The 18,551-nt window shown below is 43.8% G+C and overlaps 1 long non-coding RNA gene across 9 annotated transcripts in view, besides 2 other annotated features; it reads left to right on the forward strand.

The window, feature by feature from the left end:
- Positions 5,880–5,929: a silencer, noted in NCBI's record as "silent region_1993". NCBI's record gives its function as "represses an Ori minimal core promoter by ATAC-STARR-seq in GM12878 lymphoblastoid cells {active_cell/tissue: GM12878}" and the evidence as "EXISTENCE:reporter gene assay evidence [ECO:0000049][PMID:35858748]".
- Positions 5,995–18,551, forward strand: part of LOC105373215 (uncharacterized) — a 66,658-nt gene continuing 54,101 nt past the window's right edge. For 5 of the 9 annotated variants that reach the window (XR_002958490.2, XR_001738539.2, XR_001738537.2 and 2 more), the window contains exons 1-2: positions 5,995–6,223; positions 6,651–6,940. This is a non-coding gene — a long non-coding RNA (uncharacterized LOC105373215). Of the gene's footprint in view, positions 6,224–6,650; positions 6,941–10,000; positions 10,280–16,867; positions 17,327–18,551 lie in introns of those variants that run through there. The other 4 variants (XR_001738540.2, XR_001738543.2, XR_001738541.2 and 1 more) reach the window with 4 other exon arrangements.
- Positions 16,825–17,025: a silencer, noted in NCBI's record as "peak780 fragment used in MPRA reporter construct". NCBI's record gives its function as "represses an SCP1 promoter by STARR-seq MPRAs in K562 erythroleukemia cells {active_cell/tissue: K562}" and the evidence as "EXISTENCE:reporter gene assay evidence [ECO:0000049][PMID:32103011]".

Genomic DNA, 18,551 nt, shown 5'->3' on the forward strand with positions numbered 1-18,551 from the left:
CTACCGTTTACTTAAATATTCTTGTGATGTGCAGAGTGATACTAACTGGCTTGAGAAAGTTGATACCGATTCCAAAACTAGGGTAATTTAAGATAAAAAATACACTAGGGGCTCTGTAAATGGGGTGAATATAACAAATTGCCTGAGATGAGCCAATTATCTGGGCTCTGAATTTGGCCTAGATTGCTGGTAATCAAGGCAAAAAGAAAAATAAGGTGGATAATATAGGTCTGACTGCCCCCACCATGTTTATTTGTTAAAGAAACATTTATAGGCCAGGTGCAGTGGCTCACGCCTGTAATCCCAGCACTTTGGGAGGCCGAGGTGGGTGGATCACCTGAGGTTGGGAGTTCAAGACCAGCCTGACCAACATGGAGAAACCCCCGTCTCTACTAAAAATACAAAATTAGCCGGGCGCTGTGGCGCATGCCTATAATTCCAGCTACTCTGGAGGCTGAGGCAGGAGAATTGCTTGAACCTGGGAGGTGGAGGTTGCAGTGAGTGGAGATCGTGCCATTGCACTCAAGCCTGGGCAACAAGAGTGAAACTCCATCTCAAAAAAAAAAAAAAGAAATATTTATAAATTTACCCAAATTTTACTTGGCATTCTATTCAAGGAGGAAAAAAGCATTTGTCTCCTAAAGAGTTACTGTATTCCTTTAAAAATATCCACAGGCAAACATAGTAACTCATTAAATATTATAGCCTACTCACAGGGTGTCTGCCATTCTTATTAGAGAAGAGAGAATGGCATATTAAAAATATGTCAGAAGTTATGGGAAGTTGTGAAGTGGAAGACAGACTTCAAGTTGTGATCCTTCACAAGGCTTCATTCTATGCTTGGCTGTTTGGGAGAGTTCAGAAATCAGCTCAATATGAAAGATATAAGAGCAACTGTCCAGCTGAGGTGGTACATACCACACTAATTTATGGAGAGGACTGAAAAAGTCAATTAAGCTCCTAAAATTCCTTCATCATTGCTAAGAAGCATTGACAAGCTAAGATATAAAGTTGGGAGATGGACTAAATACACAGGATGGCAGAATAAGACTAGACAAGTCTTGAAGGGTTAAAGAGATGAGATCATTCTAACATGGCATTTAGTAGAGGTCAGTGCCATGTCAGGCCCTGCCGTTGAGTCGAAAACATCAATGGTTTGAGTAAAGAATAGGTGGGAGGTATTTTGCAGCACTTGTGGGAAAAGGTGTTCAGGGTTTTAGTTGAAAGCAAGCTCCATATGAGGCCACATTGTGATGGTTGCAGTCCTTCATCCACCTTTTACCTACCTATCAAAAAATAAAGGAAACAGTGGGCTGGATGGTTTCTTCTTAGGGTAAATCCTCTCTTTGGTTGGGGCTGCTGTTGTTGTCCAGGTAAATACCTTTGCAAGCCAACATGCTTCCCATTTAACCCTGGGTTTTACCCATCCCAGCTGTCTCATAGAGGCCTGACTTGCACCTTTCTGTTCCCTGCCCTGCCCAAGCAGTCATTTGATGCCCCGCTTTAGAATAAAGGAAGTGATAAACTCTCTCTAGGCCATGCTGCTTGGACTTTGCCAGGGGTATTTCATTCCGCTTAGAGTACCACTCTTATAAGTATTGTACAGAAATTAACTCATTCAGAGAGTACCTAGGATAAGGAGTCTTAAAACTGAGTCATAGGAGGAACAGTTAAAAAACAGCAGGCTGGCCATGGTGGCTCATGCCAGTAATCTCAGCACTTTGGAAGGCTTAAGCAGGAGAATCACTTGAGGCCTTGAGTTTGAGACCAGCCTGGGCAACATAGCAAGACCTTGTCTCTACCAAAAAAAAAAAAAAAAAAAAAAAAAAAATTAAAGCCCAAAGCTTTCTCTAGAAGACAAAAGACAGGGAGACAAGAAAGCTGTCTTCCGAGGCCTGAGGGCTGTCACAAAGCAGACAGATTCATGTTATCTCTGTGGCCACGAGAGGTAAAGGCAGCACAGGGAGACCTCAGAGCATTTCAGCCCTAGAAGGAAGCCGCACAGAAGTGAGTCTGTAGGTGTTAGAAGGCAGCTGTGCTACACTAACTTTCAGATCCCTCCAACCTACCATCCTTGAGGTTCTTACGAATGTTGAAGTAATCTCGATTCTCGGAACTACCATCCCTCCTCCTCACCACCCCCCACACCCTAGAACCCTTTCTTGCTATAAAAAGGCCATTCCTTAGAAAGTTAAACATAGAATTACCATATGATCCAGTAATTCCACTTCTGGGGATGTACTCAAAAGAATCGAAAGTAGAATCTCAAATAGATACTTGTACAGTAATGTCTAAAGCAGCGTTATTCACAGTAGTCAAAAGGTGGAAGCAACCCCAGTGTCCCTCAGTGGATTAATATAACAAAATGTGAGGTATCCATATCATAGAATATTATCCAACCTTAAAAAGAGAAGAGATTCTGAGACATGCTGCAACATGAATAAACACTGAGGATGTTATGATAAGTAAAACATGCCTGTCACAAAAGGATGAATATTGTATGATTATACTTATATGAGGTACCTGGAGGAGTCAAATTAATAGAGACAGGAAGTAGAATGGTGGTTGCCAGGGGCTGCTGGGAGAAGGGGATGGGGAGTTGTTTAGTGGGTACAAAGTTTCCGTTTGGGAAGAGGAGAAAGTCTGGAGATGGATAGTGGTGAGGTTTGCACAAGAATGTGAATATACTTAATGACACCGAACTGTGCACTTAAAAATGGTTACATTGTGACCAGGTGCGGTGGCTCACACCTGTAATCCCAGCACTTTGGGAGGCCAAGGCAGGTGGATCACCTGAGGTCAGGAGTTTGAGACCAGCCTGACCAACATGGTAAAACCCCGTCTCTATTAAAAATACAAAAATTAGCTGGGCATGGTGGTGTGTGCCTGTAATCCCAGCTACTCGGGAGGCTGAGACAGGAGAATTGCTTTTACCCGGGAGGCAGAGGTTGCAGTGAGCTGAGATTGCACCATTGCACTTCAGCCTGGGCAACAGAGCGAGACTCCATCTCACAAAACAACAACAAAAAAAGGCTGGGCGCGGTGGTTCACGCCTGTAATCCCAACACTTTGGGAGGCCGAGGCGGTTGGATCACCTGAGGTCAGGAGTTCAAGACCAGCCTGGCCAACATCATGAAGCCCTGTCTCTACTAAAAATACAACCATTAGCCAGGCATGGTGGCGGGCACCTGTAATTCCAGTTACTCGGTAGGCTGAGATGGGAGAATCACTTGATCCTAGGAGGCAGAGGTTGCAGTGAGCCAAAACTGCTCCATTGCACTCCAGCCTGAGTGACAGGGCAAAACTCTGGCTCAAAACAGAAAAGCAAACAAACAACAACAACAACAAACAGCAAAAAAAAAAAAAAAAAAAAAAAAAAAAAGATGGGGTGGTTCCCCTCCAGTGGCTCACACCTGTAATCCCAGCACTTTGGAAGGTCGAGGCAGGCAGAATGCTTGAGCCCAGGAGTTTGACACTAGCCTGGGCAACTTGGTGAAACCCTGTCTTTACAAAAAAGTACAAAAATTAGCCTGGTGTGGTAGCCCATGCCTGCAGTTCCAGCTACTTGGGAGGGTGAGGTGGGAGGATCACCTGAGCCTGGGGAGGTCGAAGCTACAGTGAGCCGTGATGGCACACCGCTGCACTCCATCCTGGGCAACAGAGTGAGACCTTGTTTCAAAAAAATAAATAAAAGGCTGGACGTGGTGGCTCAGGCCTGTGATCCCAGCACTTTGGGAGGCCAAGGTGGGAGGATCACCTGAGGTCAGGAGTTCGAGACCAGCCTGGCCAGCATGATGAAACCCCGTCTCTACTAAAAATGCAAAAATTAGCCAGGCATGGTGGTGCATGCCTGTAAGCCCAGCTATGTGGGAGGCTGAGGCAGGAGAATCACTTGAACGCAGGAGGCGGAGGTTGCAGTGAGCCGAGATCGGGACACTGCACTCCAGCCTGGGCGACAGAGTGAGACTCTATCTCAATCAAGTGATAAATAAATAAATAAATAAATAAATAAATAAATAAATAAAAAAGTGAAGTGTGGGAGGGATTGCTCGGTACTCAGCATCAAGGATGAAAGCTGACTGCAGCCATTGTCCCAGTTGAGTTCAGTGGACTTTTCAGTGCAGCCCCGGGATGAAAAGTTCTTCCAGGCTCCTGTACTGTGCATGCTCTTAAGGACAGAAAGCGTTTTCTTTGCATCTAGACCCACTTACCCCCTGCCCCTCTGCTCAGTGCTTGTAGCTCTCTCTACACTGTTATTTCATCTTTTCATCCCTGCTAAATCTTTGCCCTGAAAAATGCAGCTCCCTTGATCTGAACAAATGCTGTGCCCCACTCTGGCCCTGAGTCCCCCATTAGAGCATCTGGAGGAGATACCGAACCACTTTCCATGTTTTCTTTCTTCCTTCATACTAAACACACTTTCCTCTTGTATGTGCCTTGCTGTGCAAAGTGCAGTTCATTGTTAAAGACAGATATAGAAACAAATACTTACAATATTGTTAAAAACAAATACAGAAACAAATAGTTACAATACTGTTAAAGACAGATACAGAAGCACATAGTTACAATACAATGTAGCAAATTTTGTAATGGGGAACAGATTTACAATGAAGGTTGTGATTTCTTATTAAGATGGACTCCAGAGACTCTCAAAGGAGCTATTTTTAGAAAAATTGTGTTGTGAATTACATATGCAATTAATAATAATAGCTAACATTTCTTGATCACAATTTCTAGTTGCCTTGTGTGACTTAATCCATGTAAATCTCAGAGTAAGCCTAAGTGGTACATACTGTTATCATCCCTATTTTTGAGTTGAGGAAATTTAGGCTCAGAGAGATTAAGCACACAGCTAGAGAGTGCTTGAGCCAGAATTTGAAGCTGGATTGCTTGTCTTATCTCCAGAGCCTCCCTCATAAGCACTATGTTCCCTCCAATAATGGCCAGAAAGCAATATAATGAAGTTTCTGTTCTTGCCAGAAAGTTTGCCAACATTTTTTCTTTTTCTTTTTTTTTCTTTTTTTTTTTTTTTTTTGAGACGGAGTCTCGCTCTGTCGCCCAGGCCGGACTGCGGACTGCAGTGGCGCAATCTCGGCTCACTGCAAGCTCCGCCTCCCGGGTTCACGCCATTCTCCTGCCTCAGCCTCCCGAGTAGCTGGGACTACAGGCGCCCGCCACCGCGCCCGGCTAATTTTTTGTATTTTTAGTAGAGACGGGGTTTCACCTTGTTAGCCAGGATGGTCTCGATCTCCTGACCTCATGATCCACCCGCCTCGGCCTCCCAAAGTGCTGGGATTACAGGCGTGAGCCACCGCGCCCGGCCTTGCCAACATTTTTTCAAACTTTTCAAACATATAAAACAATATAGGTGTGCTAAGTGTAATGTCGAGTCCTGGATTGGATCCTGAAATGGAAAAAGGGCGTTTGTGAAAAAACTGGTGAAATCTGAATAAAATCTAACGTTTAGTTGTACCAGTGTTAATTTCTGAGTTATGTTCATTTCTGTACCATGGTTATGTAAGATGTCAACACTGGGGGGAATGGGACGAAGGGGTATATGGGAACTCTTTGGACTACATTTGCAATTTTTCCATAAATTATCCCAAAATAAGACTTGCATTTAAAATGACAACATTATGGATATGAGACTTCATTGATATGTTTCTCCCATGGCCTCTTCCTAGAGATCATCCTTATCCAGAATGTGGTGTTTATCATTCAAAGGGCCTAACACAACTATTACTATACTAAATGTCAGTCATGAGCAATGCAGAGGATTTCTCAAGGCGTTTGGGTTTCAGTGAGGGATCAGGATTATGGGTCTTCCGAGAGACCCTGCTCCTCTTTCAGACAGGGGCACTGCCATAAGTCCCTCTCCCAATCAACCCAGTTTCACTCTCACCAACTACCCAGCCCAGACTTAGGCCCACTGTTGACCCCACAAAGGAGGCCACACCCTCCCTGCAGCTCCTGTTGCTCAGCCTTCCCTAAGCTGTGCACCACCCTCTCACCCAAACGAAGGCAGCTGGCCCTGAAGTTCTCTGAGCTTGAGGACAAAAAAAGACCTCTGTGAGTTGTCAGGCTCTGTTACAGTCTGGGTCAGCAGACAAGAGTCCCAGGGCTCGGCCGTCTTCTCTAGGAGAGAAAATATTCGTGCCATATAGCGTGTTCTAAGAGTTCTCACCAGAAGCCCAGAAAGTTCTGTATTTACTCAGCATTCAAGGTGTGTACCCAGACCACAACGCTACCCTAGGGGGCCCAGCTCTAGGACAGGGGATGGCCCAGAGCTCTGAAATTTGAGGTATTTTCTAGTATCTAACAGTCATTAGAAGGGCAACAGCTCTGAGACCTTATTCAACTATTTATTGAAATATTTGTTTTTCCCCATTGTCTATTTATAAAGGTAACTGGGAGGACAGAGGTTCATAGAGGCTCTCAAAGAAGAAGCCTAGAAAACCCACCAGGGAGGGTGGGGAGGGAAGCCCTGGGACCTGATCAGGGCTGTGCAAGCCCGACCTGACCCATGACCTGAGGCTGACCCACAACCTGAGGACAAGGGAAGAGAAGACACTAGGGCCTGGCCAAGGTCTCTGGGAAAATAAATAGGCCTATCTGTTGTCCTTTGACCTGCACATACTGTTCTTTTGCAGGGAAAACAGACCCTGTATTTTTGGGATTCCTGAAAGGTGACCAGGTGAGAGCAAAGCCCAACTTCCTGGGGAAAAGCTCTCAGCGCAGTGAATGCTACATTCGGAGGTAGGAAGGCTCTGGATGTGAGTCTTCATGTTTGTTTTTTGTTTTTTGTTTTTTTTTCTCTAAAATTACCAAAAAAGAGGAATATCCACAGAAGCAGAAGTAGGAATGGGGAAGGAGGGGACAAGTTTAGACCAAGCTCTTCTGTGACCTCACTTCTGCTTTTGAAGTCCCACAGCTCTATAAGGTAAGGTTACTTGTGTTATTAGCGCTTAAGTCAATATTGGAGGTGATAAGTTCTTGTTTTCTCAGCTAATTTACCTAATTTCTTCCGAAATTCCTATGAAGTATACTGGATTGTGAAATTAGTTCCTGCAGAGACACCTGAATCATGTCTCAAAGAAGGATCATTATCTTAGGGTACAATATCATGATTTTATAACATAAAACTAAGTCATGCAGCCCTACTGTCTTGGGAAAAAAAAAAACATTTCACAGTTTTAATAACAATTAGGATTATCATTGTTTATGTTTCCAAGTAGAAACAAAGTTTCTCATTTTACGTAGTTATGTGCGCTCCAAAGAGTCACGGACTGGGAGGCTGAAGACCTGAATTTTGCTCCAGTTCCGCCGTAACCATCTATTTGATAGTGGGCCTCAATTTCCTCATCTGTGAATGAGAAGTGACACTCCTTTATTGCTAAGAGGCTGCAATCATTGATATTCATTAAGCTGGAGAGGAAAGTGGGCATATGCAAATGTAAAATCCACATGATATGTAAGCATATACTACATAGGCAATGTAATCATGAAGGCATTATGATTAATAGTATTAAATGAGAAATGTTGATATCATAGCATTAGCAGAAGAAATTCTCTCTGGAGATAATTAATATTGAAGCTGGATGAATATTTATGGGATATTTGCCTTCCCAATTTTTCGCAATGATTTTCAGGAAAGAAGTTTAGACAACTTTCCCTGGTAACTTTGTCTCAATGTCTAAATGGCCTAATGGTGAGCGAAACATTCCTTTCATTTAAGCCACTGCTACCTTTGCTCTTAATTCAATGGGGTGGGGCAGAAAGGGCATGGATTTAGATAAGAGGCAGTCCTGGCTTGGCCACCTACTAGCTTTGTGCAAGGCAAATTACCCTTTCAATCCCAGGCCCCTTTTCTATTAAATGAGGATAATAATAATGCCTAGAGCTAGTTTAGATGAAAAATGCTTCATCAGGTGACAAAATGCTTATGATTATCACAGATTCTGCAGTGTTGTATTTATAAAAGACAAGGTGTGACCATTCTAAGATTTTAATCAATTGATTAACTTAATCCAATTAAATGCAGCTACATGGAAGAATCAATCACATAAACGTGTATATATATATATATATATATATATATATTTTTTTTTTTTTTTTTTTTTTTTTGAGACGGAGCTTTGCTCTTGTTGCCCAGGCTGGAGTGCAATGGTGTGATCTCAGCTCCATGCAACCTCTGCCTCCCTGGTTCAAGCGATTCTCCTGCCTCAGCCTCCCGAGTAGCTGGGATTACAGGCATGTGCCACCACGCCCGGCTAATTTTGTATTTTTAGTAGAGACAGGGTTTCTCCATGTCAGTCAGTCTGGTCTCGAACTCCTGACCTCAGGTGATCCGCCCGCCTCGGCCTCCCAAACTGCTGGGATTACAGGCATGAGCCACTGTGCCCAGCCAACATAATCGTTTTTTAAAAATTATATTTATATATACATATACATGTAGATATACACACCACACACACACACACACACACACACACACACACACACACACGTATATTTTTTAACTTTTTTTTTTTTTGAGGCAGAGTTTCGCTCTTATTGCCCAAGCTGGAGTGCAATGGCACCATCTTGGCTCACTGCAACCTCTGCCTCCCGGGTTCAAGCGATTCTCCTGCCTCAGCCTTCAGAGTAGCTGGGTCTACAGGCATGCACCACCACACCCGGCTAATTTTTGTATTTTTAGTGGAGACAGGGTTTCACCATGTTGGTCAGGCTGGTCTTGAACTCCTGACCTCAGGTGATCCACCCACCTCAGCCTCCCAAAGTGCTGGGACTACAGTATGAGCCACCATGCCGGCCTATATTTTAACTTTTATTCTAGGTTCAGGGGCTCAGGTGCAGATTTGCTATATAGGTAAATTACGAGCCACGGAGGTTTGGTATACAGATTATTTCGTCACTCAGGTAATAAACATCGTACTAAATAGGTAGTTTTTTTATCTTCACACCTCTCCCATCTTCCACCCTCAAGTAGGCCCCGTGTTTGTTGCTCCCTTCTTTGTGTCCATGTGCACTCAATGTACATAAACATAATCTGGAGTGAAAGAAGCCAGACATAGCAAAGTAGGTTCGGTCTGATTTTATGAAGAGAGCTTCTAAGAGTCTGGTCATGTTCTATTTCTTGATCAATGTGTTGTTCATGATTGTGTTCAGTTTGTAATCATTCATCAGATTGTGAACATAAGATGTGTGCTATTTTCTATGTATGTATGTTATACTTCAATAAAAAGTTAACATTTTTGTGTTTGAGATGATGGATATGCTGATACTGTGATCTGATCATTATATATTATAAATATCAAAACATCACTATATACCTCATGACTATGTACAATTATTATTTATTAATTTAAAAATGTGAACTTCTTTTGATTTAGAAACATTAGACACAACAGATTTTTAAAAAACAGCAACAGGCCAGGTGCGGTGGCTCACACCTGTAATCCCAGCACTTTGAGAGGCCGAGATGGGCGGATCACAAGGTCAGGAGATCGAGACCATCCTGGCTAACATGGTGAAACCCCATCTCTACTAAAAATACAAAAAAAATTAGCCGGACGTGGTGGCGGGCGCCTGTAGTCCCAGCTACTTGGGAGGCTGAGGCAGGAGAATTGCTTGAACCCAGGAGGCAGAGCTTGCAGTGAGCCGAGATCGCACCACTGCACTCCAGGCTGGGCGACAGAGCAAGACTCTATCTCAAAAAATAAATAAATAAAATAAAATAAAATAAATAAAAAAATAAAAAAAAACAGCAACAACAAAATCTCCACATATGCCAATATCTGGAAATAACTCCTCTTAATATTTTGGCATAGACTCTTCCAGAATTTTTTCTATATGTATAAACATACATTTTACAAAATGGGATCATACCGTGCATCTTTGAGTAACCCCATTTTCTCACTATTTCACTCTTACAAATACTGACAAACAAGACTTTTTCAAACATCTTGGCTCAGTAGATCATTTATTTATTTATTTTTAGGATTCCTAAAACTGGACATGGTGGCTGTAGGAGGATGCGCCTCTTTCAGTCATTGGATTTCCCCTGGAAAGACAGAATGAATTCACATTCTCACCTGCAGTGGGTGAGAAGTCCCTTTTCCCCCACTTCCTTGCCAAAAATGGATATTATCATTCCTTTTCATCTTTGCCAGTCTGGAAGTTATGTGCAACTGAACACAAGAATTACAGAAGAGGCCGGGCGTGGTGGCTCACGCCTGTAATCCCAACACTTTGGGAGGCTGAGGCGGGCAGATCACTTGAGGCCAGGAGTTTGAAACCAGCCTTGGCAACATGATGAAAACCTGTCTCTACCAAAACACACACACACACACACACACTAGCCAGATATTGTGACACACACCTGTGGTCCCAGCTACTCGGGAGACTGAAGTGGGAGGATCACTTGAGCCCAGGAGGTTGAGGCTGTAGTGAGCTGTGATTGCACCTCTGCATTCCAGCCTGAGCAACAGAATGAGACCCTGTCAAAAAAAAAAAAAAAAAAAAAAAAAGGAGGCAGCTGGGATTTAAGAACCAATTCAGGGATAGAACAAAATTTGGGCTCCATCCCAACTCTGAAGCTCAGTTTCTTCAGCTGTAAAATGGGGTAAATAATAATCTTTCCAAAGGGAAAAGTTAAATAGCTTAATCCTAGTCCTAACCACCCCCAATGGCTCTCCCTTCTTCCCAAATTCCTTTTCAATCTTGTCTCCTCCCAGCAGCCTGAGTATTCCAATATGAATGTAAATCACATGACATGGTTTGTATCTGTGTCCCCATCCAAATCTCATGTCAAATTGTAACCTCAGCGTTGGAGGTAGGGCCTGATGGGAGGTGACTGGATCGTGGAGGCAGAGTTCTTATGAATGGTTTAACACAGTCTCCCCTCGGTGCTGTGTAGGGGTTAAGTTCTCTTGAAATCTGGTTGTTTAACCGTGTCCAGCACCTCCCTGTCTCTCTCCTCCTTCTGCTCTGGCCATGTGAGATTCATTACTCCCCTTTGCCTTCCACCATGATTGTAAGTTTCCTGAAGCTTCCCCAGAAGCTGATGCTGCCGTGCTTCCTGTACAGCCTGCAGAACTGTGAGCCGATTAAACCTCTTTTCTTTATAAATTACCCAGTCTCAGGTATTTCCTTATAGCAGCGCAAGAACTGCACTGATTAATACATCACACCACATCATCTCTGTCTTAAAGCTCTTGCTCAGCCAGCTGTAGTACTTAGAACAAAATCTAAACTTATCCTGGCTGACTTGGGTCCACCTGCTCTGTCTTTGCCTGCCCCACTGTAGATACTGTCGGGCTTTGCTTTCATTTGCCCACCTTTAAAAAATTATTATTGTTATTTACTTTTCAAATTTATTATTTTTTTTATTTTAAAATGTTTATATTTTTAGAGACAAGATCTTGCTTTGTTGCCCAGGCTGGAATGCAGTAGTGCGATCCTAGCTCACCGTCGTCTCAAACTCCAGGGCTCAAGCAATCCACCTGCCTCAGCCTCCCAAGTAGCCCAGCTAATTTTTTTTTTTGAGATGGAGTTTTGCCCTTGTTGCCCAGGCTAGAGTGCAATGGCAGGATCTCAGCTCACTGCAACCTCCACCTCCCAGGTTCAAGTGATTCTCCTGCCTCAGCCTCCCATGTAGCTGGGATTATAGGCAGGCGCTACCACGCCCAGCTAATTTTGTACTTTTAGTAGACATGGGGTTTCTCCATGTTGGTCAGGCTGGTCTTGAACTCCCGACCTCAGGTGGTCTGCCTGCCTTGGCCTCCCAAAGTGCTGGGATTACAGGTGTGAGCCACCACGCCTGGCCACTAATTTTTATTTTTTACTTTTTGTAGAGACAGGGTCTCATTATGTTGGCCAGTCTGGTCTCAGACTCCTGACCTCAAGCAGTTCTCCTGCCTCAGCCTCCCAGAGTGCTGGGATTACGTTGTGAGCCACTGTGTCCCGTCAGCCCACATTTTTGAGGCTGCACTGGCCTCTGGGTTTCTTGAATGGGCAGTCCCTCGGGCCTGTGTCCTGGGATGCTCCTCCTCCCTCTCTTTCCTGTCCTTGCCAACTTCAGCTTAAAACCACATCCTCAGGGAGACCTTCCCTGTCCTCCTGCTATTTTCTCTCCCACCATCCTGTTTAGTCCCTTCACAGGGACTTATTACTATGTGTAATGATACATTTCTTTGCTTACTTTTGTGTTTTGTCTCCCCACCACCTGGTAAGCTCAATGAGAGCAGACATAAGGCCTTCTGAGTTTGTTGCTATATCCCCCAGCACCTAGGTCTGCGCCTCATTGTACATGCTCAACAAATATTTGTTGAATGTGTGAAAATAAGTATTTCAAAATCAAGGCTGTTGGAACTTTAAAATATTATGAACCTTGAAGGAGTGTGATTATGGGACTCAAGTTACATAAATAGGCAGCTGTAACCTTTGTTTCTCTGATTATAGATTAGCCTTCTTTCTTACCCACATTGTTTTGTAAAATGTTGTAAATGACTGAAGGGTGCCAGGGAAGATCCCTTCCACCTTCACTATTGATCTTCATTATAGATTCACTTCCTTCTTACCTTTCTGACACAAAGACTTCATAACTATCTCATTGTCTAAGATGAAATGTTCTAATCCTACTAAATTTCTTTGTTTTCTGCCTGTATAAGCAAGACTTTAATTTTTTTTTTTTTTTTTTTTTTTTTGAGACAGAGTCTTGCTCTGTCGCCCAGGCTGGAGTGCAGTGGCGGGATCTCGGCTCACTGCAAGCTCCACCTCCCGGGTTCACGCCATTCTCCTGCCTCAGCCTCCTGAGTAGCTGGGACTACAGGCGCCCACCATTATGCCCAGCTAATTTTTTGTATTTTTAGTAGAGACGGGGTTTCAGCATGTTAGCCAGGATGGTCTCGATCTTCTGACCTCATGATCTGCCCGCCTCAGCCTCCCAAAGTGCTGGGATTACAGGCATGATCCACCACACCTGGCCGACTTTAACTTTTTTTACTTTAGATCACTGGCTCCACTTCTTTGAAGTCCGTGTTTCCTGGATGGCTATTCCTGGCTTTGAGCTCCAATAAACTCTATACCTAATCATATGTTCTAAATCATGTTATTTAAGGTTGACAAATGAATCAATAACTATTTCACTTTTCCACCAGTTTGGTGGTGGGTAAACCATAGCATGGTAACAGGGTGAGATAGCCACCAATTCTCTGTAACCCATCCTTCTGGGCTGCTCTCTTCCTGGTCTGAAATCTTCCCAGGCCATTTCTGATCTCTCTCATCCCGCATCCCCAAGTTGTTGATGGTATCACCTTCTGCAGCTCTGAAATGAAATATATGCTGTCTGGTACTGTTCTTTTAGTGTTGGAAGTGCCTCCTGCCACCTTAGGGAACTATATATGAGTTTACACTAATCTAGTTTCTTCAAATGGCACACTGTCTCAAGGGGGTGGGAGGGCTCAATAAATATTCATCAATTCAGCATTCATTTATTAAGTACCTACGAAGTACCAGTTATTATATTAAACACCTAGGATACAAATACAAATAAGGCACAGCATTTCCTAACTTCAGGGAGCTCACAGTCTAGGGAAGGGGGCACATAATTGTAATATTATGTAGCAATTGCAGTGGCTTGCTATGTAAAAGACAAAGGGCGCCAGGCACACTGGCTCATGCCTGTAATCCCAAGACTTTGGGAGGCCAAGGTGGGCAGATCACTTGAGTCCATGAGTTCGAGACCAGTCTGGCCAACAGCCCGGGGGTTTAGTAGAAACCCCATCTCTACTAAAAATACAAAAATTAGCCAGGTGTAGTGGTGCATGCCTGTAGTACCAGCTACTCAGGAGTCTGAGGCAGGAGAATCGCTTGAACCCGGGAGGCAGAGGTTGCAGTGAGCCAAGATCTCACCACTGTACTCCAGCCTAGGTGACGAAGTGACTCTATCTCAAAAAAAAAAAAAAAAAAAAAAAAAAGACAAAAAAAACACACAGGGGGGCCAGGCACGGTGGCTCACGCCTGTAATCCCAGCACTTTGGGAGGCTGAGGTGGGAGATCAGGAGATCAAGACCATCCTGGCTGACATGGTGAAACCCTGTCTCTACTAAAAATACAAAAAATTAGCCGGGCGTGGTGGTGGGCGCCTGTAGTCCCAGCTACCCGGGAGGCTGAGGCAGGAGAATGGCGTGAACCCAGGAAGTGGAGCTTGCAGTGAGCCGAGATTGCACCACTGCACTCCAGCCTGGGCGACAGACCGAGACTCTGTCTCAAAAAAAAAAAAAAAAAAAAAAAAACAACCACACAGGGGAAGGATACTGAACCCAGTCTGAGGAAGAGGAGGAGGAGGAGGACAGCAGGCTTCCTGGAGAGGTGCCATCTGATCTGAGCGAGCCAGATAAAGAGGACAAAGGCATTAGCAGAAGAGGGAACAGTATCAGTCCAGGCCTGGATGGAGAGCAGCATTCTGTGGGCAAGGCAACAGTCAGCAGTTTAGTGTGGTTAGAAAATAAAGTGCAAGTCAGAAAGTGCTGAAAAATAAGTCAGTGAGATGGGCTGGTGCCTGTTCAGGGAAGCTGCTGAAAGTTAAGGTCAGCAGCTTGGACATTTCTGTAGAAAGAGATCACTGAACATTTTAGCCAGGAATGGGGTGGGAGGTGTTGGATTTGGGGAGGACGCATTTGGAGGCAGGGAGATCTGGTGAGATATGACCAGGATCTGCCCTGGGTCAGTGGTAATGAAGAGGGAGAGTCAGGCAATATGTTTAAGAACCTTTAAGAGGTAAAACTGGTAGGACTTGGTGATTGATTAAATGTGGAACAGATTGCAGAGAGAGAAAAAGAGAGAGAGAGAAGTCAGTAGCTTGAGTGACCTCATTATGATGGAATCCCATCGACAAAGAGAATACCAGGGAAGCGGTTTGGTGACATGGGGGACGTGAGGTGACACTTTGGTTTGGGATATGTTGAGTCTGAGGTGCTTTGGGGGATGTAGAAACAGCTTTGATTTTGAATTACTTATTGTTACAATATAATGGCAAGATGTATGGTTTGGGGATTAGCATCTCCCTTCACTGAGCTCACTTGTATTCAGCGGTTCGTATATTTCACCATGGTAGGTGCTAGGAGTGCCCCATCCAGGTCCCTTTTGCTGGCTGATGACAACTCACAGCCCCTCCTTCTCCTGGGAGTCAAGGCTCCCAAAAGGCAGTCTGGCCCAGACATACAAAAGCTCAGCCCCCTGCATCAAGGAGGCATTGCCTGTGTGGTGCACTTTGGGTTTCCCAAGCTCCCTGGAGGGATCAGCCTGAAGCTGGTCTCCAGATGAGACCACATCCTTCCTTGACTTTCCCCACCCTGTGCTCTCTTGCCTCCTCACTCGCCTCCTCCTGAGAACACTGCCCTGATGAATCACTTGCTCAAGAATCCTCCTGTTCTTGGGAACCCCACCGAAGACACAGGAGAAATTGGGCAATTGGGAGTTGGTTGGCCACAGTTTTAGGAATCCACAGTAAAGAGGGGGCTGAAGGTGAATTTTATTCCTCTGGACAGAGCTGATAGTGAAATGAATGATAGTGGGGTTGCCTTTATCCACAGTAGAAGGTCATTTGTGTTATTTTTATTGGTTTTTAGTTTATTAGTTTTATTAAGCCACAATTCTAAATCTCTGAGTCAAAAGCATTTGTCAAAATTCCTGCTTACGGACTATTAAAGTTCCTGAGTTTGGAAGGAGTTCTTTTTTCCTAAATTCCACGTTGCCCTTCCCTTCTTTACTCTTCATGTTTGAAATGATGTCACTGAAAGCAGGTGCTCTTTGGTGGTTGAGATGGACCCGCCTGTCACCCCTAGACTGGATCCATTTTCTCCCTTGAAACCTTGTAGTATCTTTTTGCTTCTCTAAAGTAGCAGTTCTGGGCACTGTCCATGGAATTGCCCATTTCTTGCCTGTTTAGTCAAAGAAGACTCGAGAACTGAGCATAATTCAGAGTTAACACAGCCTTCTTCTTTGTTATCTCATCGAAAAGTGCTTACAAAATATTTATTGAATGATAAAAATGAAAGATTAAATGAATGAGTGATCAATATTGCCCAACCAGGCAAGTTCCATATAAATGCAAATTGGCTTTCACTGTGCAATGTCCTTTCGCTGTATGTCTCTTTAATCTGTTTGCCCTATCGCCTCCAATTGGTGGCAAAGACTACATCTTCTATTTCCCTTTTATCCCTGCAATAGACTATAGAAATCGTGTTTGATGGAATAACTAATTAGTCAGTCAACATTTATTGATCGCCAACTATTTTAAGGGTATTTTAAAGATGGGGATTTAAAAATAAATAAAACACAGTGGTCTTTAAGGAGCTCATGATGGCCTGAGTATACAATTTGTTCTTAAATAGAGTGACTTGCTAAATGCATAAATGCATTTGATTTAATATTTATTCCTTTGTAAACTTCTCATAGAAATAAATTCACAAATAATTAAAACATCCTTTTGCAGATCACGTGACTGAATTTTGTCAGCAAATATGGCCGGCACGCCAATCAGGCTCTGGCTGTAAATGCAATCAATCCATTACTGCTTAGCTAAAAAGGCAAAGTTGCTGGTTCAAGTCCTACTGTGTGTACCTGCAGGGGAACTAAGGTCTCCACTGTGGGGTGTGTGTGAGTCTGAATCTAAATTGCAGGCTGGGAAGCTGACTTTAAACAGCATGCTTCTTTAAAGTTCTGAGAGTAGGTTCCTTGCTCCAGGCCTTGAAATGAAATCAAAGCTGGCTTTGGCCTTGGTTTTAGCTTTGGTCTAGTAATAGCCTGATAGGTACATCTACAGTAGCTTTTTTTTTTTTTTAATAACTCTTTCTCTTTAAAGACAGGAACACTTGGTATTTCTCGGTGTCTGTGAGGTGAGTCATGCATTTTATAGGCGCAGAAATTGAAAGAGGAGTGACTTGCGTATGGTCAGAGAGCAAGTCCAAGACTACGGTGAGTCCAGCACCACAGGGCCACCCAGAACTACTTGGCCTGCTGCCCATCCTCTTGTCTCTCCACTGCACTAGGCATAAATGTCAGTAAAGAAAGCAAGTGTGGCCCATTGAGAGAAAATGTGGCACAAGCCAAGAGTTCACAGCACTTGAAGTGGTAAAGGCAGATCCAGGTTGAGGCTCTGTTCTGCCCAGTTTATGATGAAATACTGATAGTGGATTTCTTCCTTTTCACCTGTTCCTGCCCCACTTGCCTGTCAAAGTCAGCCAGCACACTTTCCTCAGCAAATGGGTGGTAGGTTCTGGGCAAAACAATGTTATAATAAAAACAGAAAAGGTAAACCATGCCATTGGCTCTGACTGCCTTAAAGGGTTTTTGTCTCTAAGCTAGAAGACATGCTTTCTTGTACTTTCCCTGTCGAGATGGAGGCATTTCACTTGTCATCCATAGAAATTCTCCTACTTTGGGGAGTGTAAATTAGTTCAACCACTGTGGAAGACAGTGTGGCAATTCCTTAAGGATCTAGAACCAGAAATACCATTTGACCCAGCAATCCTATTGCTGTGTATATACCCAAAGGATTATAAATCATTCTGCTATAAAGATACATGCACACATATGTTTATTGCAGGACTATTTATGATAGCAAAGACTTAGAACCAACCCAAATGCCTATCAATGATAGACTGGATAAAGAAAATGTGACACATATACACCATGGAATACTATGCAGCCATAAAAAAGAATGAGTTCATGTCCTTTGCAGGGACATGGATGAAGCTGGAAACCATCATTCTCAACAAACTAACACAGGAACAGAAAACCGAACACCACACGTTCTCACTCATAAGTGGGAGTTGAACAATAAGAACACAGGGACACAGGGAGGGGAATGTCACACACTGGGGCCTGTCAGGGTGTGGGGAGGTAAGGAAAGGGAGAGCATTATGACAAATACCTAATGCATGCGGGGCTTAAAACCTAGGTGATGGGTTGATAAGTGCAGTAAACCACCATGGTAAATGTATACCTATGTAACAAACCTGCACATTCTGCACATGTATCCTGGAACTTAAAGTAAAATAAAAAGAAAAGAGAAATTCTCCTACTTTTTTTTGGCAATAATGGGTGTTAGCAAAAGGATTCACCATTCACCATCTATTGAATACCTATTTGAGCCAGGTACCATTGGGCATTTTTTTTTTTTTTTTTTGAGATGGAGTTTCACTCTAGTCGCCTAGGCTGGAGTGCAATAGTGCAATCTCAGCTCACTGCAACCTCTGCCTCCTGGGTTCAAACGATTCTCCTGCCTCAGCCTCCAGAGTAGCTGGGATTACAGGCACCTGCCAGCATGCCTGGCTAATTTTTGTATTTTTAGTAGAGACGGGGTTTCACCAGGTTGGCCAGGCTGGTCTTGAACTCCTGACCTCAGGTGATCCACCCGCCTCGGCCCCCCAATGTGCTGGGATTACAGGCTTGAGCAACTGTGCCTGGCCCCATTGGGCATTTTACTTGGTCTTTTTTGGTCCTCATGACAACAGATATTTATTAAGCAACTACCAAGTGCCAGA

The sequence above is a fragment of the Homo sapiens genome, chromosome 1, assembly GCF_000001405.40.
Source record: "Homo sapiens chromosome 1, GRCh38.p14 Primary Assembly".
Lineage (NCBI taxonomy): Eukaryota > Metazoa > Chordata > Mammalia > Primates > Hominidae > Homo > Homo sapiens.